Raw genomic sequence first — 22402 nt, 5'->3', positions numbered from 1 at the left:
TGGCCCTGGGTGGGAGGATGATTGTGAAAAGGCAGTGTGGTGGCCCCGGTGGGAGGATGATTGTGGAAAGGCACAGTGCGGTGGCCCTGGGTGGGAGGATGATTGTGGAAAGGCACAGTGTGGTGGCCCCGGGTGGGAGGATGGTTGTGGAAAGACAAAGTGTGGTAGCCCTGGGTGGGAGGATGATTGTGGAAAGGCACAGTGTGGTGGCCCCAATGGGAGGATGGTTGTGGAAAGGCACAGTGTGGTAGCCCTGGGTGGGAGGATGGTTGTGGAAAGGCACAGTGTGGTGGCACTGGGTGGGAGGATGATTGTGGAAAGGCACAGTGTGGTGGCCCTGGGTGGGAGGGTGATTGTGGAAAGGCACAGTGCGGTGGCCCCGGTGGGAGGATGACTGTGGAAAGGCACAGTGTGGTGGCCCTGGGTAGAAGGATGATTGTGGAGAGGCACAGTGTGGTGGCCCCGGGTGGGAAGATGATTGTGGAAAGGCACAGTGTGGTGGCCCCAGTGGGAGGATGATTGTGGAAAGGCACAGTGTGGTGGACCCAGTGGGAGGATGATTGTGGAAAGGCACAGTGTGGTGGCCCTGGGTGGGAGGATGATTGTGGAAAGGCACAGTGTGGTGGCCCCGGGTGGGAGGATGGTTGTGGAAAGACAAAGTGTGGTAGCCCTGGGTGGGAGGATGATTGTGGAAAGGCACAGTGTGGTGGCCCCAATGGGAGGATGGTTGTGGAAAGGCACAGTGTGGTAGCCCTGGGTGGGAGGATGGTTGTGGAAAGGCACAGTGTGGTGGCACTGGGTGGGAGGATGATTGTGGAAAGGCACAGTGTGGTGGCCCTGGGTGGGAGGGTGATTGTGGAAAGGCACAGTGTGGTGGCCCTGGGTGGGAGGATGATTGTGGAAAGTCACAGTGTGGTGGCCCCGGGTGGGAGGATGACTGTGGAAAGGCACAGTGTGATGGCCCTGGGTGGGAAGATGATTGTGGAAAGGCACAGTGTGGTGGCCCCGGGTGGGAGGATGATTGTGGGAAGGCACAGTGTGGTGGCCTCGGGTGGGAAGATGACTGTGGAAAGGCACAGTGTGGTGGCCCTGGGTGGGAGGATGATTGTGGAAAGGCACAGTGCTGCTGAATGCATGCTGTTGGGACTGCACTCAAGATTCAGCCCTTCACACAGTTGGGTAGCATTGTTACCCCATTTCAAGGAAAAACTCACAAGTGAAGGATGGGGTTGGGCATAGGCTTCCTCCTTCCTAACAGAAGGCTAGAAACAGCTAGAATGTGGGGTCCACTAGGGCAGTTTTCTTACCATTGTATCCCTAGGACTATCAAGCCTGGCCCAGAGAAGGCTCCCCCAAAAATGTCTGTGGAATATTGACTGAGAGCAGTTCAATTCAACAGAGAATACTACATGTTAAACAAGAATGTCAAATATTCTTTCCACCAGCATCAGTAATTGGCATGGACTTTTGGTGGTTATTCATATAATATAGCTAAGAAATAGTCCAGTCTAGGCCACTCTTGCTGGTAGGAAGCAGTGCCAGGACTGGAACCCAGTCTCTGGATGGCAGGTCAGACCCACTTTGCTATAGTGTGTTTGGGGAATTATACAGACAGCTGATGGTCCCATGAGTGTGGCGTAAGACAGTCTCCTTGCCTTTTTCAAGTCAATGCAGACAGAACATGAAACTGACCCATGCTGAGGTAGGGGGAGGTTCCTAGAGGTCAGAGGTGCCCAACCTGGGGATCTTGCCTGCCACAGAGCCAACTTGGCTGCCCAGATGGCTGAAAGGGTCAATAGCTCAGCAAACCATCACCCAGTCATGGCACTCAGATGGGAAAGTCTGGTGCATGAAGACAATGTGGAATTGGGAGAACTTGACTCCAACCCAGACACTCCAACTTGCACTGTGGCCATGCAAGAGCAAGTGGCGGTCAGAGCTGTCCCTGGGGTGACTCCCCTGCCCTTCCACTGGCCACTCCCACTTGCTCTCATTGTCTTCTCAAGAAGCCACCAAGTCTCAGGTTAGAATGGGGTCTAAAGAAGCCACTCACAGCATTCTACATCTTGAAAAACAGGGTTGCCCTTCTTAAAGGCCTATGGCAATGATCTCCAATTTTGTCCTCCAAAATTAAGTGTCTCTGATAAATCACTCAACATGGAGGTCCATTCTTTATCTTACTTTCATCTGTCTTGCCATAATCTGTGTCTGATCCAATTTCGAGCAATTTATGTGCTCCTGAGAATGGAGAATGGGTGAGCAGGGTCTTTACTGATCCTAGGCAACCAGGAATTATGGTGGGAGAGAATATTTTAACATACAATCAGCCCCTCACTAGAAGGCCCACTTTGGTTGAAACACATCAATTCAATATGTCTTTTTTTTTCTTTTAGCATGCCTGTTAAAAGAGGAACACACAAATTGCATAGGGCATGGTATCTGCCCACAGGAGGGCTTAGTGTCTACTTAGGAAAATGAGGAACACCCAGGAAATAAAAAAGAAGAGTCACAGTCAAAACAGGGTGAAAGAGACTGTCATGAGAGATCATTATTTCACTTTATCCTCTTCATTCATCAGAAGAGATCTATGTCCATCCAAATCTTTGGCCCAGTTTAATGCAATTCAATACAATAAACGCTTTATTGGGCACCTGCCATGTCCCATGCCTGCAAGGGGTGCACATCCAAGTTATACATCGTGCCTGCCCCTTATCATTGAGGAATTAGTCTGTATTCAGCACTCAACACTTACTCTGGGCCATGCACTGTGCTGTGTGCTGGGAGCTCAGCCTTGAGTGGGAGACCCTTGAGCCAATGCCTGGGAGCTCATGGTCTAGCAGGAAGCAGACAGGTGAGCAGATAAATTAGCACAGATGGAGACTGCAGTGCAAGGGGGAGTGGGGATACCTGGTGCAGGCTGTAGGGAGAGGGGTAATCAAGGCAGATTTGTCTAAGCTGTGACCCGAAGGGTGCGGGAGTGGTGAGCCAGGCCAAGGGAAGGCATTCCAGGTAGGCAGCGTGGCCCACAGATAAGCAGGTTGAACAATGTGTCCTGGTTTGCCCAGGACTTTCTTCTTTGTAGCACTCAAAGTTCCACATTCTAGGAAAGCCCTAAGTACCAGGCAATCGAGGATGATTGATCACCATCAAGAGAAAGTGTGGTATATTCTGAAAACTGAAATTGGTTCAAGTTTAAGACAAGTGTATAAGAGAGTTATCAAAGAATCTTAGATTTTTGTCTACTTGAAAGTTGATCCTAAGGAAGTGCAGACCTTGGTTGCCACCTAAGTTCAGATGCTTTAACTTTTTTAAAGCTATGCTATTTAAATTTTTTAATTAATATTCTCTCTAGCTCAAATATGCCTAAAGCTTAAACAGGGGCTTTGGGAAGCAGACGGGTAATGTAAATGAGTGGCTGCCAGCCAGGTGAGGACAGTGGCCACAGGAGGCTGCACATCCTGCCCCAAGGCGGCAGTCCCTACTCAGCACCAGCTGGCTGTCTGCTGGAGGGAATGTTGCTAGATATCCTGATATTTCAAAAGAAGCCCCAAATCGGAATTTTTATGGGCAGGCTCCTACTGTTAAAATATTTGTGACGAATTCAAGATTTTTAAAAAGGCACTGCCAAACTGAACACTACAGCTGCTAGTTTTCTCCTCTCACGTTACCATTCTTAGTACCTGGTCAATGGAACTATCGCCCCCTTATGGCAGCATAGCCAAATTGCAGGATATTCTCTGAGGGGTAACACCTCTGGAATCAGTGTACTCCAGGGCAAAAGGGTAATCGATGAACCCCTTAACATGGAAAATAGTTGCCCGGGGAGCAGGGTTGGGGCCAAGAAAAGAACGAAGGGCTGAGTTGAAAGCATCAAAAGTCAAGATTTGACTATGTCCCAGTTGGGGCAAGACTGGCCCAGGCTCCATGACAGAGAATCAAAGTCAGCCAGCAATTGATCTTGGGTTGAGGCCTTCAATATGACATCTCAGCTTGAAATTGGCTGTCTTGCTGGCTGATTTATAAAACTTCAAAGAAAAATCCTCAGAGCAGAAATCTTGGCCCACCCTTAACCAAGGCAGCCTTCATCCCATCAGCAGCAAGGCCAGGACCCAGGAGGAGCTGCCATGTTGGTCTGTGCATCTGCAGGTCTAAGTCCATTCTGATTCCAATGCAGCTGGAGGCAAAGTTAAGCTGCCCTGAGCTCTTGTCTCTGCCTTAAGGACTAAACATTTGTAATAGAGTAGAAAGCTCTGCACCTGAATTTTCTGAACCTTATGTCAACAGGTTCCCCTAACCAGCCGCCCTGGCTCCAGATCTATTCTTCATTTTCTCTACAGCTGTGGGTCTTTCTATCTGCCTCCTTTTCACTGATTGTCAAGAGACTTCAATCTCTGACTAGGTAGAGTAGGCATCCACCTCTATGTTAAGAGATCAGGACTATACCCTGCTGTCAGTTTTTCCCCATGTGTTCCCTGAAGTCTCTATTCCTTAGCAGGAGGGGATGTCTTCAATTGCACCGTGCAAAATGAAATTTAAAATGCAAACAGGAAATAGACACATGCACACACACACACATGCACGTGCACCCACACCCAGTGCACACATTGTACACATATGCACACACTAGACTAGGAGTCAGGAGTCCTAGGCTCCCTTTCCAGCCTGCCACTGACTTTCTGTATATAGTTTGGAGGTAGATTTCTCCTCTCTGCACCTCAATTTTCTTTTCTGTCAAATAAAAGGGAATGGGGGTAAATTCCATATCCTCAGTTGTCCCTCCATGATTTTCTATAAAGTCATGTTATGATGCAAGCTAACTGGTAGAAGGCCTTTCCATGAGATTGGGATTACATTAAGCAGATAAGGACATAGGGCGCAGTGGGCAGCTGAAAGGAGAGTGGGAGTCCAGTGAGGGGGAAACGGGCCTGGGCAAGGGTGGCAGACCAAGGGTGCCAGAGATCACCATCTCCAACTTCTCTTCTGCTCAAGGCTGGCACCGGCTGCTAGGCATCTGTCATATTTGTCTCCTCGTGGAATTCTATATGTGACCCTACCCTCTTAGAGTCCTCTTTCTGTGCCTCCTACTTCCCTCCCCTCATAGTGAATGAGGTCCCCTATATGCAAAGCCCTGTGTCATGTGCCAGGCATATATGGGGTCCCCTATATGCAAAGCCCTGTGTCATGTGCCAGGCATATATGGGGTCCCCTATATGCAAAGCCTGGTGTCACATGCCAGGCAAGGGATCTTTCTGCCAGTTTCTCCCCCTGCTTTGGAATGTCTCCGATCACCCCTCATGAGGAGATTGAGGTTCTAGGAAGCTGTTGTCAGATGCAAGGCAGGAAAAGATTTCCTACCAGAGAGGTAGGATGGCACAGTGGCTAAGAGTAAGGCTTGGGCCGTGTGTGGTGGTTCACACCTGTAAGCCCAGCACATTTTGGGAGGCCAAGGCAAGAGGATCACTTAAGCCCAAGAGTTCAAGACCAACCTGGGCAACACAGCAAGACCCCATCTGAATAAAACTTTTTTTTTTTAAATTAGCTGAGCACGCTGATGCTGGCTGCTAGCCTATAGTCCTAGCTACTCAAGTGGCTGAGGTGAGAGGATTGCTTGAGCCCAGGAGTTCAAGGCTGCAGCCAGCCATGATCACACCACTGCACTCAAGCCTGGGCAACAGAGCAAAACTCTGTCTCTGAAAAAAAAAAAAAAAAAAAAAAAGAGTGAGGCTTTTGATGCCACACAGTCCCTACATTTAAGCCTCAACTCTATTCCTTGAGCAGATTAATCTCTCTAGGCCTCAGTTTTTTTATCTGAAAAATGGGAACAATAATACTCATCTATCCTATAGGGTTGCTGTAAGAAATAAAATAATCAGGCATGACAGAGACTTTCAGTTGCATATCCAGTCTCTCCTACCTTTCTAATGGAGCCCCAATTTTGTTGGGAGTTCATTAAACCCAGCTAAACAAATTATATTTTCCAGCCTCACTGCAGCCTGGATTGCCAGAAGGTAGTGTCTTGCCCAAGAGATGTAACTGGCAGCCCCATGGGGAGGAAATATTTGCTTGCCTGATACAGGTCTTATCCTTTTTAACTGACTTTGCCCTTCCTCCTGCTGGGAACACAGATGATGGCTGGAGCTGCAGCCATTTTTCAACGATGAGGGAAAGGCCAAGGCAGTAGAGAAAGGCCAATAGTAGAGATCTCACCTATAGCTCACATAAACAGCCACCTACACCCAGACTTCCTGTTCATAACCACTATTTCATTTTAGCCACTCTTATTTGGATTTTCTGTTTTATCTATCTAAACTTAATCTTCAGTTGGCTCAAGTGTTTATGTCATGCACTCAGTAAGCACTTAATACCTTTTTTCCACTGCATGGGATGGATCCCTGGTGGCCCATTGTAAGGTGCCCCATGGAGGGAGAAACACCATACAGGACTTTAGCCCAACGTAGTAGGTCTAGGACTTTGCCACTCTTCTGCTGCATGGGCTTCAGTGGATCCTTTAGCCTCTTGGATCTTCAGTTTATTCATTTGGGAAGACGTAATAAGTTCCTTCCACCTCTGGCCATCCATAGATCCATGACAGTCTCCCAAGGACATCCAGGTCCACAATATGGCTCCATATGTTCCATGCTCCATGCCCCAGACTCTCCTCTAATCCCTCCATCTCTACCCTGCAAAGTTTCCTGAAATCCAGAGAATTTGCCAAAGAAAGGAACTGTTTAAATCAAAGGCCACACTGTCTTAGTTAATTGTCACCAAAGAATACCAAGAGTAACATAAAACCCAATGGAATCAATAAGTCACTAAATAATTTTGGTAACATTTCACATTAAGGTAGCATGAATACTTTATTAAGAGCTGGTAAGTAAATTTCCCTTTTTCTTAAATTATGCTAGAATTTGCAGAAGCATAAATAACTGCTTGGGCTGCTGCTCCGAAGTGCTTCCTCGCAAGTTGCAACAACATCATCTATTAACTAGTTTACAATCATTCCGACAGGTCTCTGTGTGTCTCGGAATAATTTACTTTGCAAAGCAACTTTGATGAATCATTTATTCATCATTATTATTTATAAATGCTACTTTAATTTAGCCCCATTTCCTTTGCTCCCTCGCAGCATATTGACCAAAAATAGGAATGCTTAGGGCAGAACTTCTGCTTGGCTTTGTGGTGTTACTTTAAACAAAAGAGTGCCATTGAAGCACATGGCTTCTCCACCTACATTATAAACGCACTCTCCATCCTTCCCAGTCCTGAGCATCACGGTTTCTCCACCTACCTACCTGCCTGGTGCTATGCATATGTTGGGTAAGTGAAGGAAGGACAGGGCCCCCACTCCACACACCTGGGACAGGGGAGAAAGAGAATTAATGTTTAATGAAGACCCACTCTGTTCCAGGTGCCTCAGCAAATAGTTATTGAGGGTTTCGCATGTACCAGACACCATTTAAGCAACCTTGCCTGTATCATTCACTCAACTTTTTCAATGATAATTTCCTTTTTGAGACAGAGTTTCACTCTGTTGCCCAGGCTGGAGTGCAGTGGCGCAATCTTGGCTCACTGCAACCTCTGCCTGAGCCTTCCAAGTAGCTGGGACTAAAGGCACCTAACACCATGTCCGGCTAATTTTTGTATTTTTAGTAGAGACAGGGTTTCACCATATTGGCCAGGCTGGCCTCGAACTCCTGACCTTGTGATCCGCCTGCCTTGCCTCCCAAAGTGCTGGGATTACAGGTGTGAGCCACTGCGCCCGGCCCATTGATAATTTCTAAAACTTATATAGCACTTTTAAGATGCCAGTATGTGCTCTAAGTGGTTTGTCTATATTAATTCAATCATTACAATAACCCTGCATAACGGTACTATTATGCTCCTCATTGTAAAGATGCTGGAAATGAAGCACAGAGAGGTTAAGTGAATTACCCAAGGCCACAGAGCTAGGAAATGACAGAGCTGAGATTCAGATCCAGATAGTCTCATTTCGAAGGCTACACCCTTAACCACCATCTGCCTCTTGATAATCTCATGAGCTAAGCACTATTTTTCATCCATTTTACAGAGGATAAACCTGCAACATAAAAAGAGTCAGTGATGTTTCCAAATTTTCAAAGCTAAAGAGTAGCAGAACAAGGATTACCAGATGGTTTGACTGCTCTTAGCCACAACACATAATGCTTTATATATAATCTCCCCACGGTTTATAAATTAGGTGCTATTCCTATCTCACAGGTAAGGAAATGGAACATGAGAGGTGATGTAATTTGCCAAAGGGTCACATGGTTATTAAGTGTCAGGACTGAGATTTAAACCCCAATTTACCTAGCTATTTTTTTTAACTTTTATTTTAGGTTCGGGGGTACATGTGCAGGTTTGTTATATAGGTAAACTCAAATGGGGTGGGGTTGTTGTACAGATTATTTCACCAACCAGGTACTAAGCATAGTACCCAATATTTATTTTTCTGATCGTCTCCCTCCACCCATTCCCTCCCTCAGGTAGGTCTCAGTGTCTGTTGCTCCCCTCTGTGTGTCCATTTGTTCTCATTATTAGTGGTATTTAGTTTTCTGTACCTGAGTTATTTTGCTAAGGATAATGTCCTTAATCACAGCATAATAGGAAGAGAAGAACACCTTTCATTTCAGGAAGGTTTGGTTGAGGACTGCACTCCATTTTCCTCATTTCTTTCACTCAAGTCTCAGGTGCCAGCCCAAGTGCTCAAAGCCCTGACAGCCTCCAACATCTCTGCCCTCATGGAGGGGAACAAGGCAAAGGAGGCTTCTGGATACTGTGGGGAGGATGAAACAGGAACCAGGGACACCCCAATTGGAGAACTTCTTGATGTGGCTCCCTTCACACATGTCCACCTCCCATCTCCCCAGGGCTCTATCCCAGCCACCACTTTCTCCAGACCCCAAGGACGGAATGAAAGCAAACTATTTTGATACACAGAGAAAGCCTTTTGGGTGAATTTCAGCTGGAAAATAAGGAATTAGAAAATTAGATGAATATTTAAACCAACAGGGGTCTGAGGCCAAGGAAGACAGACCCCCAGAAGACTGAGGAATCTTCTTAAAGAATCTTGAGGACTTTAAATGATATAATAAAATTCAACACTGATGAAAGAGAATGAGCTGAAAGTCTTTGCAAGGTCCTTCCAGCTCTCTATGTTTCAAGGACAGTTGGCTTTAATAAGAAGTTGCACTAAAAATGTTAAAATTGAGTCCTTGAATGAAGCATGCTTTCAAGAGCAAGAGTGCATACTGACACTCCCAGGACCAGCCACGCTGACCTCCGTAATGTGCTACTTATCTGAGGAGTGACCTTTCAGTGCATTCTCTGATTGCACAGAAGAGAAAAGGAAAAGGAAAATCTTAGAAACTTTCTTCTGAGCTGGACTCTTCCTTAGTACAATGTTGCTGTATTAGTCTGTTCTCAAACTGCTACAAAGAAATACCTGAGGTTGAGTAATTTATTAAAAAAAAAAAAAAAAAAAAAGGTTTAATTGGTTCACAGTTCCACAGGCTCTACAGGAAGCATGATGCTGGTATCTGCTCAGCTTCTGGGGAGTCCTCAAGAAACTCAATCACAGCAGAAGGCAAAGGGTAAGCAGCACCTCACATGGTTGGAGCAGGAGGAAGGGAGAGAGCAGGCTGGTGCTACACTCTTTTAAAACAACCAGATCTCATGATATCATGAGAACAGCACTGGGAGGGTGGTGCTGAACCATTAATGAGAAACCGCCCCTATTATCCAATCACCTCCCACCAGGCCCCACCTCCAGCATTGGGGATTACATTTCAATATGAGAGTTGGGTGGGAACACATATCCAAACCATATCAGTTGCTCATGCTATCAAAAGAAAACATTAGGCCCCATACAAAACCTAGAGCTGATTTACAGTCCTTGGATTCTAAAACAAGACGTTTTTGTTAGTTACTGAAAAATGAAGAGGCACAAATGAAACGGAGACTCTTGATATGCACGAGGTATTGGACTAAGGGGGAAAGTCCAAGCAGACAAGGAGGCCAAGAATGAGATGTTGGACACAGGAAAGTCCTCTTTTTTTTTTTTTTTAAATTGAGACAGAGTCTCACTCGATCACCCAGGCTCAAGTAAGTGGTGCAATCTCGGCTCACTGCAACCTCCGCCTCCCAGTTTCAAGTGATTCTCCCGCCTCAGCCTCCTGAGTAGCTGGGATTACAGGAGCCCGCCACCACATCTGGCTAATTTTTTTTTATTTTTAGTAGAGACAGGGTTTCACCATGTTGGCCAGACTGGTCTCAAACTGACCTCAAGTGATCCACCCACCTCGGCCTCCCAAAGTGCTGGGATTACAGGTGTGAGCCACCACACCTGACCAGGAAGGTCTTTTAGAGCTCCTCAAATTATTAAGTCAACACTGCACTTAAATGACTGCTAAATCCAATACAGACTGACGACATCTGCCCCATGGAAAGCTCTGGTGCAGCCCCAACTTTTCCATCCATTTCATCCATTTAACAAATATGATCTAGACAAACACCAACTGTCTCATGCTGTGGTCACACTGAGGACAAAGGCATGAACAAGACATGGTCCTGTCCCCAAGGAGCTAAGTAAAAGATAGCTGATTATACACAGATGGAAACCACGAAGTTTTATTACAGCTTAGAAACACATACACTAATTCCCCTGAAGTAAGGGTTGTTCTGGGAGGTAGGGGGATGCCCTGATCCTAAGCCAGAGTCAGGCAGATGCCATCTAGACACAGTAGGCTGGATGCCCTAAATCACACAGTGGCCCCCAAGCCTGCATCTTAGGGTCCCCAGGTCCAGCCCCCGAGTCCCTCAGACTGAGTGGTTTGCAGTGCCTACCACTTTCACATGCTAACATCATTTCCTGCAGCCGTGCAAATAAAAGTGGACAGCAAGCCAGTGCCCTTCTGTTTGCTGCTATTGGATTTATGACATGTCAAGTTTAAATAGCACATGCAAGGCTCACAATGGAGGCAACACAGAATTCATTTTCAAGCCCATCAAGGCTCTGAGGCCACCTCCTTCTCCCTGCTGTGGCTGGGAGTAAAATTTCATGAAATCCTAATACCAAGAAAAGGCCTCTCTGGATTTCCACATTCAACTTTGCTTCTGTCTCTATCTCCTTTCTTTTTTCCCTCAAGTCCCAAAAAAATACCAAAATAGCATAAATGCCTCATACCAGTACCCAATAGATACCAATTAATCTTTGTGCAAGTTTGCTTCTGCTGTGCATAAACCCTAATCTTATTCCCAGGTTGAATTCTTAATCCCTTACAACCAACCACCATCGCGTCACTGCTGCCCAGCTGAGGTAACTAGCTCTAATTTAGGGCTGCTCTGCCTACCTTTTGTGCTTTTCTTTATTTGCATGTGAGAACCTTCCCCTCCCTACCCCGCCTGCCATCTTCCCTTCCCCCTAACTAGCAAATTAAACTGTGCAGTTGCCCCCAGCTCTTCCCAATAAAGGAGGCAACTTGGACTTGACCCATTAAAGGAGAAAGCCCGGAAAGACTTGCTACAGTATCCAGCAAGTCTCATTTTGATAATTGACTGGTAGGAGAAGCATTTGGGTTGCAAAGCAACCTTAGTAGTCAGGTTTCCATTTTGCAGCAAAACCCCCAAATTAAAAATCACCTCCAGGGGATAATTCTTTTGGAAATAATATGAGCTGGGCTATTTCTGTTTTTGTCAGGCACACTGTCACTCCAGGCTGGTGTCTCACATGTTATTCTGGCTGCATGAGAGAGGCCCAGAATAATAGCACTGGTAACAGAAATGATGGCAAAAATGGGAAGGTCAATTTACAAACATAAAACAAGGAGAAAGCCATACTCCTCCACAAAAAGTTGGTGTCCACTTTAGACAAGGGAAAATTACAAAATAGAGCCCCTAAATACACATGGTTTAGTCAATGACAAGGCAGGCAGCATTTGGGATGCCGTGTTTGGCTGTGGTCAAATCTGAGTTAGGCTAGAAACACCCAGGAAGCAGGGGCCTTTTAAAAACGAACAAATGTCATTTGGTTGACTAATTATTTTATGTTCATGTCACAGTGAACTGTGGCTGAGTACCTTAGATTTCTGCCTTTGCTCATGATGTTTCTTCTGAATATTACACCTTCTCCACCCTTGGCAAATGAATCACACTTCCTCACTCTTAAAGGCTCAAGTGTCTCCTCTATCAGAAAGCCTTCCTGATTTTTTAGCAGATTTTATCTCCTCCTGTCTCCCATTACATACTGTTTAATAGCACGTTCATACCATTACTGGTTGACTTTTCAGTCTCTCTCACTACACTTTAAGCTCCTTGAGAGCAGGAAACACATCTTACTCCTCTCTTTTAATCTCTAGCAGCTGACACAGTGCCAGGAACATGATAGGTATTCAGTAAATGTTTGTTGAATGAAGGGATATGTCTAAATATAGAAACCTATATGAGATGAAACAAAGAGCTGAATTTAAAAGAACTGATTATTATAGAATCAATCTGTTGAATTAACTGATTTATTTTTAGCAATGTCTTCCTGAGTGCCTGCCAGATATTCGGCCTTGCACTAAGTAAGTACATAGAGGTGGCAGGAGAAAAGGACAGAATCCCCACTTTCAAGACATTTATAATCATATTTATGGATTTCTATATTAGGATAGTAGAAAATAGTCCAAGATAAAATTTTGTAACACAGTAGTATCGTTGTGTGGGCGCACTGGGTTGGGAGTTAAGAAAACTTTGTTCCCTGTCACAATCTCACCACAAAGTCATTGTGTGACCGTAAGCAAGTCCCTCCACCTCTCTGGACCTCTGTTTTGTCATATGTAATGTCAAAGAGTTGAAACAGTACTGAGACAATTGGCCAGTCAAATGGAAGAAGATGAAATTAAATTTCTGCTGCATATCATACAGAAAAATAAATTCCACGTGAACACCTAAATGTAAAATAGCAAAACTCTAAAAGCTTTCCAAAAAAAGAAAGAAAAACTATAGAAGTATATCTGTATGGGTTTAGTTTAGGAAGAACTTTCTTAACAAAATGTGAAAAGCAAAAACCATAAAGGAAACATCTGACAAACTGAAGCACCTTAAAACCCACACACACACACCCTAACAAAGTGAAAAATGAAGCTACGACCTGGAAGAAGATATCTACAGCCCTCATGATGAAAAATGAAAGAGTAGCCAGAATATCTAAGAATTTTACAAATATATTAGAAAGACAAATACATTAAATACATTAAATGCAATCCACAAAAGAGGAGAATGATTGACAAACTTATGAGATGTTCAACCTCATTAATAATTAGAGAGGCCTCAATTTAAAATGGCAATAAGATACCAGTTTATACCCAGCAGATTAGAAAAAATTGAAAAGCCTTATAATACCTAGTTTTATCCAAGGTGTAATGGCATGGAGACTCTCACATGCTTCAAATAGGTATGTAAATGGACACAGCTATTTGAACAATAACTGGTAAAGCTGAAACTGTTAATATCTCATGACTCAGCAATTTCTCTCTCTATACAAGGAGATCTAGACAAATATATTCCTTGCAGCATCATTTGTTACAATCAGACATTGATAATTCTTGTTGTCAACTGGATCACCAGTAGACTGGAAAAGCATAGTATAGTAACATAGCATACTATATGACACTATAGTATAGTACTGCTATAGTATAGTATAGGAGTATAATCATACAATGGAACCCTATACAGCAGTAAAAACTAATTCACTAGATCTACAAGTAACACCACAGTTAATCTCAAAAATGTAATACTGAGGAAAAGCAGAAAGTTGGAGGATTATGTGAACTGGATGGTGGCATTCACGTAAAATTCACACAAAGCAACCCTACATTGTTATGGATGAAAACTTATCAATGTGGCAAAGTATAAAAACTGGGCAGGAAAGATGCTCTCTGAATTCAAAATTGGAGTTACCTCCAGAAAGGAGAAAATGGTGGCAGTGTGGAGTGGGAAACAAAGGAAGCCTCAATTATATTACGTTTCATTTAGTAAAATGAGTAGCAAATAAAACATCCTGTCACACCTCAGTAGTGGACATATGAGTGTCTTCTATATTATCCCCTGTACTGTCATAATTTCAAGTAAAATATTTCATTTTTTAAAGGGTGAAAAGAATATAGACCAAAACATTTATCAGAATTATCTCTGGAGGAGGTAGGATTACGAGTAGTTGTGTTTATTTATTTATTTTGCTTACCTTATGTTTTCTGAGCTTTCTCTAATGTGAGTTGTCACTTTTGAAGAAAAGTACAATAAAGCTTGCTTGCGAAAAGAAAACAACATGAGAGTGTTTGAAGTACACTGTTTTAAAGAACCTTTCTGACATTTAAATTCCATGATTAGGACTGGCTGTCAGGACAAATATGGGCTCTGCCCTTAGCCAACAGTTGTTCTAGGTCCCTGTGAGAAACTTGCAGAGACAACACCAGCCAATGTCTAAACAAATACAAATGGGTTTTGGTGTCTGCTCCAGGCAGTCAGAAGACTAGACAGCAGAACTGCAGAATGACTGCAAGGCCTCAGGACGAGATATCTGCTGCATATCATATGGAAAAATAAATTCCATGTGGATTAAACACCTAAATGTAAAATAGCAAAACTCTAAAACCTTTCCAAAAAATAAAAAATAAAACCTAGCAGGAACACCACCAGCCAAGAGCTAAACAGAGCAAGCTGCAATGCCATCTTGGGCTGGGGTCAAGTACTAGAAAACCATTAAAAAGAGTCTGGGATTGGGCTCTTTTTTGGTTCCATATGAATTTTGGAATAGTTTTTATTTCTGTGAAAAATGATGCTGGTAATTAGATAGGAATAGTGTTGAATCTGTAGATCACCCTGGGCAGTATGGTCATTTTTATGATATTGATTCTTCCAATCCATGAGCATGGGATGTGTTTCCATTTGTTTGTGTCATCTATGATTTCTTTCAATAGTGTTTTGTAATTCTCCTTGTAGAGATCTTTCACCTCTTTAGTTAGACATATTCCTAGGTATTTTAGTTTTGGTCGCTATTGTAAATGTGATTGCCTTCTTGGTTGGCTCTCAGCTTGAACATTATTGGTGTATAGAAATGCTACTGATTTTTATACATTGACCTTGTATTCTAAAAATTTACTGAAGTCGTTTATCAATTCCAGGAGCTTTTTGATGGAGCCTTTATGGTTTTCTAGGTATAGAATCATATCATCAGCAAAGAGAGATAGTTGACTTCTTCTTTTCCTATTTAGGTGCCTTTTATTTCCTTCTCTTGCCTAATTGCTCTGGCTAAGACTTTCAATACCATGTTGAATAGGATTGGTGAGAGTGGGCATCTATGTCTTGTTCCAGTTCTCAAGGGGAATGCTTCCAGCTTTTGCCCATTCAGTATGATATTGGCTTTGGATTTATCATAGATAGCTCTCACTATTTAGAGGTATGTTCCTTGATGCCTAGTTTGTTGAGAGTTTTTATCATGAATGGACGTTGGATTTTATTGAAGGCTTATACTGTGTATATTAAGATGATAATATGGTTTTTATTTTTAATTCTGAGAACAAGCCTGAAGGCATCATACTATCTGACTTCAAACTATACTATAAAGCTACAATAACCAAAACAGCATGGTACTAGTATAAGAAGAGACACATAGGCCAATGGAACAGAATAGAGAACCAAGGCATAAGGCTCCACACCTATAGCCATCTGCTCTTCAACAAGGTCAACAAAAATAAGCAATGGTGAAAGGACTCCCTATTCCATCAATGCTGCTGGAATAGCTGGCTAGCTATATGCAGAAGAATGAAACTGGACCGCTACATATCACCATATACAAAATTAACTCAAGATGAATTAAATATTGGAATATAAGACCACAGACTGTAAGAATCCTAGAAGAAAACCTAGGAAACACCATTCTGTACCTCAGCCTTGGGAAATAATTTCTGACTAAGTCCTCAAAAGCAATTGCAACAAAAATAAAAATTGACAAGCTGGACCTAATTAAACTAAAGAACTTTCTGCACAGCAAAAGAAACTATCAACAGAGTAAACAGACAACCTACAAAATGGGAGAAAATATTCACAAACTATGTATCTGACAGAGGCCTAATATCCAGAATCTGTAAGGAACTTAAACAATTCAAGAAGCAAAAACAAACTCCATTAAAAAGTGAACAGAAGACATGAACAGACACTTCCCAAAAAAAGACATACAAGGGCCCAGCAAACATATGAAAAAATGCCCAACATCACTAATCGTCAGAGAAATGCAAATCAAAACCACAATGAGATACCATCTCATACACATTCAGAATGGCTACTATTAAATAGTCAAAAAGCAACAGATGCTAGTGAGGCTACAGAGAAAAGGGAATGCTTATACACTGTTGGTGGGAATGTAAAACAGTTCAGCCCCTGTGGAAAGTAGTTCAGAGATTTCTCAAATAACTGAAAATAGAACTACCATTCAACCCAGCAATCCTATTACTGTGTATATACCCAAAGGAAAAGAAATCCTTCTGCCAAAAGGACACCTGCACTTGCATGTTTACTGCAGCACTATTCACAATAGCAAAGACATGGAATCAACCTAGGTGCCTATCAGCAGTGGATTGGATAAAGAAGATGTGGCATATACACACCCCAGAATACTATGCAGCCATAAGAAAGAACAAAATTATTTCCTTTGCAGAAAATGGATGCAGCTGGAGGCCATAATTCTAAATGAATTAATGCAGGAGCAGAAAACCAAATACAGCATATTCTCACTTATAAGCGGGAGGTAAATACTGGGTACTCATAAACATAAAGATGGCAACAATAGACACTGGGGGCTACTAGAGGGATGGAGGTGGTTAAGGGTTGGAAAACTCATGTTGGGTACTAGGCTCACTACATGGGTAATGGGATTATTTGTACCCCAACACATAGCATCACACAATATACCCATGCAACAAACTTTCACATATACTCCCTGAATCTAAAAATAAAAGTTGAAATTATGAATAAATAAGTACAAAAAATAAAAAAGAGGCTGGAGAATAGCATAAATTGATATGTTGGTTCTACCACCTACTAACACTCATTTACAGCATGCTCTTGAACAGATTACATTAAAACTCTTTATGCCTTGATTTTTACACTTGTAAATTATAAAAAATAATATTATTATTAGAGGGTCATTGGAGAATTAAATAAAATTATCCACTATGAACATGTACAGCCCAGAGCCTGTGGCAGGCTGGAACAGGGCCTGTTCCAGATTGCAGTTGAGCCTGTGAGCTAGAGGGAGGCTTGGTGTGCACTCCAGGCTGGAAAGGCTGGGGAAGCAGGGCAGTCACATAGGGAGGAGGGCAGAGGACCCACATCAAAGTCTGCACTTCAGCAAGGCTGCTTGACTCCAGAAGGAAATAAATACTCAGCCCTCAGAAGCAGAGTCTGCTCAAACCTAGAGAGTCAGAGGGAATCCAGGGGAAATTAGCCATTTCCCTGCTAATGGGGCACTTTACCCAAGGGCCCTCACTGTCAGTCTATAGGCACTTAGGGAAAACTGGAATCTCTGGAGAATCATGGGTAGAGAGGACAGATAAACGCCCTGGCTGTGTGGCCTTAGGTAAGTCACTCAACCCCTCTGGGCTGCTGTTTTCTCATTTATGAAATGAGGAACTTGATATCCTGGAAAGATACTTACAGGAGGAAAGAGACCTTGGTTCTATTCAGCCCTACCTGTAACTGGCCATGTGGCTTTGGGGAAATCTTCCACCTTCCCAATCCTCAGTTTATTCTACAAAATGATGGATATAAGTGCAGTGTTCTCCAAAAGCCTACCAAGCTTCGGGGTAAGTCACATGCAAACACGTGCACACATGCATGGGCAGTTGGAGTTCAGTTTAACCCAGATTGGGTTTTAGGACAACTACCTGGCATATTAATATCACATATCCAAGATAAAAGAGAGAGAGAAAAGAAGGAAGAAAAGGAGGAAGAGAGGGAGGGAAGGAAGGGAGGGAAGGAAGGAAATGGTGGAGGAGGGAGAGAGAGAAGGAGGAAAGCAAACAGGTAAAATAGCTACAGGCATCCAAGCATGGGCATGCCTGAAGATCAGCTGCCTATAAGGTATGATTAGGGAGGCATTGAACAGGCTCTTCCCTAGAAAAACCCAGCTTGCCCCAACTGTACCTACCACAAGGTCTGGAATGCCACTGTTAGCATGCCAGCCTATCAGGCCTCCAAGGATTTTTCAGTCTTCCAGATCTCCCTTGAAAATGCCATGTGCAGAACAAGGCTCACCCTGAAGGCATTATCTTGTCAGCTTGGTCCCCAATCTCACAACTGGCTATAAGAAAAATTCTAGGAGAAGGTTACAGATGGAGCTGTATTGGGGGATCATGAAAAAGGCTGGAAGTTCCAAAAGCAGACCACCTCTTCCCACAGGCAGTGGAAGGGCCTTTCCAAGTCATCGCATCACCAATGCCCCCTTGCTTCCTACTTGTCCCTTATGTAGGACCCCTCTCTGTTGCTGGGCTTATGGGAAGGAATTACTGTCCCCCTCATACAGCAATGGCTGAGAGGGCTTGGGGAGCTTATGCAGCCAACGTTAGGCCTACAGAGATGAGAGCCTCTTGACCAAGGTCTCCATGGTGGGTTAAGGGTACAGCCTCAACCAAAGTAACAACAGTGATAATAGCAGCTACCCTTTATCAAATCCCTCCTAAGGCCAAGTCCCATTCTAAGTCATTTAGCCCTCATAATGCCCTATAAGGCAGAGACTATTAATATTTCCCTTCTACAGATGAGGAAACTAAGGCACAGAGAGGTGAAGTTTCCCAGTGCCTTTTATATGGGCGCCTAGCTTATGGGCGCCCAGGCTGGAGCTCAGGCTTTGGCTGCAGGACCACTGTGAAGAACTCTGAGGCAACACTGCTAGGACACCCAGGTCTTTGGCCTCCTGGGCCCAGGTGTTGCCCCTTCACTAATTTTTCTAAGGCTGGCCCAGATCCCTGGTCCTAAATCTAAGCCTCATCCCCATGTCACCAACCCCTCAGGCCCTGAAGGCTCTGGAAGTTTCCCCTCCTTACCTTCCCCTCCTCCTACCTTCCCTTTCACCGAAAGAGAGAAGCTGCAGCAGAAAGGTGTCAGAGAAAGTGATGAATGGAGGCTGACCCCAGGGCAGAGCTCACGTGGCCCGCCTCTCTACCCCCATCGAATCAGCCCATCTCCCTCATACTCACCTGACAGGCAGGAAGCAGAGCCCCGGGGTAGGAGCAGGGGCAAGGCACGTCTCCTGGGGCCACCCCCACATCACTAGGGCAACTGGGCAGACTTCCTTGCCCCACCTACTCCTGGCCCCAGGTCACGGTCCCCACCCCTGCCAGAGCCCCTCGACTGGCTAAGCCATCCTTCAGGCCCAGCTGACACGTGCTTCCCGAGTGCTGGTGACAGGCGCCCAGCTGGAAAATAACGAACTGTGGAGATGGGGCAAAGTGCAGGTTCTCCTGCATCAGAAATGACAGCCTCGGCTAAAGCTGCAGGCAGGGTACCCTCACACAGGCGTGTATACACACATGCTTATACACACATGCACATTTGCTCACACACTCACTCCATCTTGGCTGCATGAATGGGACCCAGGAAGATGAAGTAGGTCTCAGCTTATAAGGGGTGGTGCCAACTGCCACTGCTCTCTCTGAAAGACGAGCACTAACAGCAGCAATTCCTTCCACATAGATTACATCCTACAGTTTGCAAAGCACTTCCACACCTGCTGGATCAACAGATAAGTAGGGGTGAAAAATGAACTGGACAGTCACTTTGAGGCTAAGGGGTCACACGCAAGCTGCTGAACCTCTTTGTGCTTCTGCTTTACCATCTGTACAAAAGGGTTACTAATAGCACCCGATAAAAGCCACAGGGACTGGGGAGTTAGGGCGGCTTCATTAAAAACCCAGAAGAGACCATTCAGTTCTGCCCCCGTCTGCTTCAGCTGCTGATGGCTGCAGCTTCCCAACTTCCTGGTGCTCTAAATTTATCACGTTCCACAGCAGCCACCCTTCTGAGCCGCCTGGGTGAACTCCTGGGCAGAGTGACACCAGCCCCGGAGAGACAGAAGAGGAGAAACCATGAATGCATACGCATGCACCACACAGGCGCGGCCACTGCAGGTCCAGCCTGTTTCCGATGTCTGCTGTCTCTGCTATGGGCTTGGTGCTGGGCAGAATTTCCAGCCTGCCACAAAGACTCCTGGCGTAAGAATGGGAAGAAATAAGGCCACAACTACAGAACTGCCAAGAAACAAACCCACAGCTCATTTGAGACAGCCAGTGAGAGCACTTAATGTACAAAAGTTAGTATGGAGATGCCAGCATGGGCTCATTCAGCCCATGTTCATTCAGCATATCCAGTCAACATCCCCTAAATACCTGCTACCTACCCAGCTCTGGGATGGGTAGCACAGGGTGGGCAGGAAATAAGAGGACGCCACTCAGGCAGGCCTGAGACATAGACAAAGGAGACAGAGATCTTCTCCAGCACCTGCCACCATGCCTGAAATTCCACCATCAGGAATGAAGGCTATGACCATCGATGCCCATGTTTGCCTATGTGCACATGATAGGGAGATCCGCCTCCTCTTTATGGAATTCTTTCCTTTTATAATGGTTATACATATGGACAGATGTTTAGAATGTCAGAAATGGATGGGACTTGGGAGAGCTTCTAGTCCTTCCATCTTCAAACAAACTCTAAGTCAACAGGTAAAATACACAGAAGTGGCACAGACACAATTGGGTTGGGATGGCAGTGAGTGAGGAGGGCTAACTCAGCCTCTTTAAACTCTCTTTGCTCATGATGTCTCCTGACTTCCCTCAGAGAATTTGGAAAGCACTTCTCAAGATATATCCTTATGATTAGGCTCAATTGCAAGCAACAAAGATTCTAAACATGGTGGCTTAAACAGAGTAGTGGTGTTTGTTCTTTTTGTTCCCGGAGAAGTCAGATGTAGGCAGCACAGAGCTGATGTGGATCTTGGATTCACAGTCATCTCTTTGCAGACCACTTCTGGCCTCTGCTTCACATCTTCATGGTCCAAGATAGTAGGCTTATGATTCCAGGCAGCTGGCTGGAGGAAATGACAGAAAAGAAAGTCTCCCAGAAGGTGCTGAGGACCCATTCACATCCCACTAGCCATGATGTACAGTCACATGGCCACATACAGCTGCACAGCCTGCTGGAAAATGTAGTTTTACTTCCAGGAGGCCATGGGCTCAGCTAAGAGCTCTATGACATGAAGTAGAGGGAGAACGACTATGAAGTTAAGCAATTGGTGATTACTGCTCTATCAGTTCAATCCTCTACTTTATAAGTAATTAAAATGAGGTGGTAGGATGATTATAATAAGATCATTGGTTAAGGTTGTAATGCCCAAGAGATTTTCCCCAATACCCAACATAAGGCTTGACTTAGACAAAAACAAAAAGATAAGCCCTTGTCTTCCCAGTGGGAAGGGAGATATGCCAGCCAACATTAACATGATAAATGATGTGACAAAACTAAGTGCAAAATAGAATGGGAATAACAACACAGAGCACCCAAATCTCTCTGTGAGGGTCCAAGGGGTCACTGAGAGAGAGTGCTTTGCAGCTGAGGCTGGATTAGTGTGAGAATTGGTGTCTGTTGAGTGGACAAGAATGGGGAAAGATAAGTCTGGCAAAAGGAACAGTGTGTGCAAAGGCCCAGAGGCAGGATAGTGGACCATTTTTGGAAGCTAAAAAGAGGTGCAATATTGCCAGAACATACAGGGCAAAGGGGGTGTGATGGTTAATTTCACGTGTTCACTTGGAAGGTGTTTTCAGATAAGATTAACATTTAACTTGTTGAACTTTGGGTAAAGCAGAGTGCCCCCAAGGCTTCAACATACATGCATATCCTATCGGTTCTGTTTATCTGGAGAAGCCTGACTAATGCAGGAGATGAGGTTGGACAGATAGGCAGGGACCAAATCCTGAATGGCCTATGTGCCATTCAAGGCCATTTCCATCTTACACCATAGAAAAGGGGGATTCATTGGAGACTTCTGAGCAAGATAGGGGTCAGACTTGGATGTAAATCATGGCTTAGGGGTGTGGTGGGGACTATGATAGACCAACATGTACTGTTCGTCTACCGTACGTGATAAGCACTGTTCTAGAAGCTTTAGAGGAGAGTGGTCAAGGCCAGTGGCAGGGAGACAGAAGATAACTGGATGTGCTAGTGGAAAGGTAGCAGAGGCAAAGGAGACTCCCAGGTTTCCAACTTTCACAGCTCCACAAGGACAGAGCCTGACTCTCTTGCCCATCCCTGCACCCCCGGCACTAGCACAGTGTCTGGGACTAGGCCTGCATAA

The 22402-nt window shown here is 44.5% G+C and overlaps 1 long non-coding RNA gene and 1 other non-coding gene across 2 annotated transcripts in view; both read right to left on the bottom strand.

The window, feature by feature from the left end:
- Positions 1-22402, bottom strand: part of MIR4527HG (MIR4527 host gene) — a 308827-nt gene that overhangs the window by 192973 nt on the left and 93452 nt on the right. The window lies entirely within an intron of this gene.
- MIR4527 (microRNA 4527) lies at positions 21013-21082 on the bottom strand. Its single transcript, NR_039753.1, has one exon. It is a non-coding gene; the product is annotated as a microRNA 4527 (primary transcript).

The sequence above is a fragment of the Homo sapiens genome, chromosome 18 (genome assembly GCF_000001405.40).
Source record: "Homo sapiens chromosome 18, GRCh38.p14 Primary Assembly".
NCBI classification, from domain to species: Eukaryota; Metazoa; Chordata; class Mammalia; order Primates; family Hominidae; genus Homo; species Homo sapiens.
The sequence above is the reverse complement of the archived record's forward strand: the minus strand, read 5'-3'. Positions and strand labels throughout refer to the sequence as shown.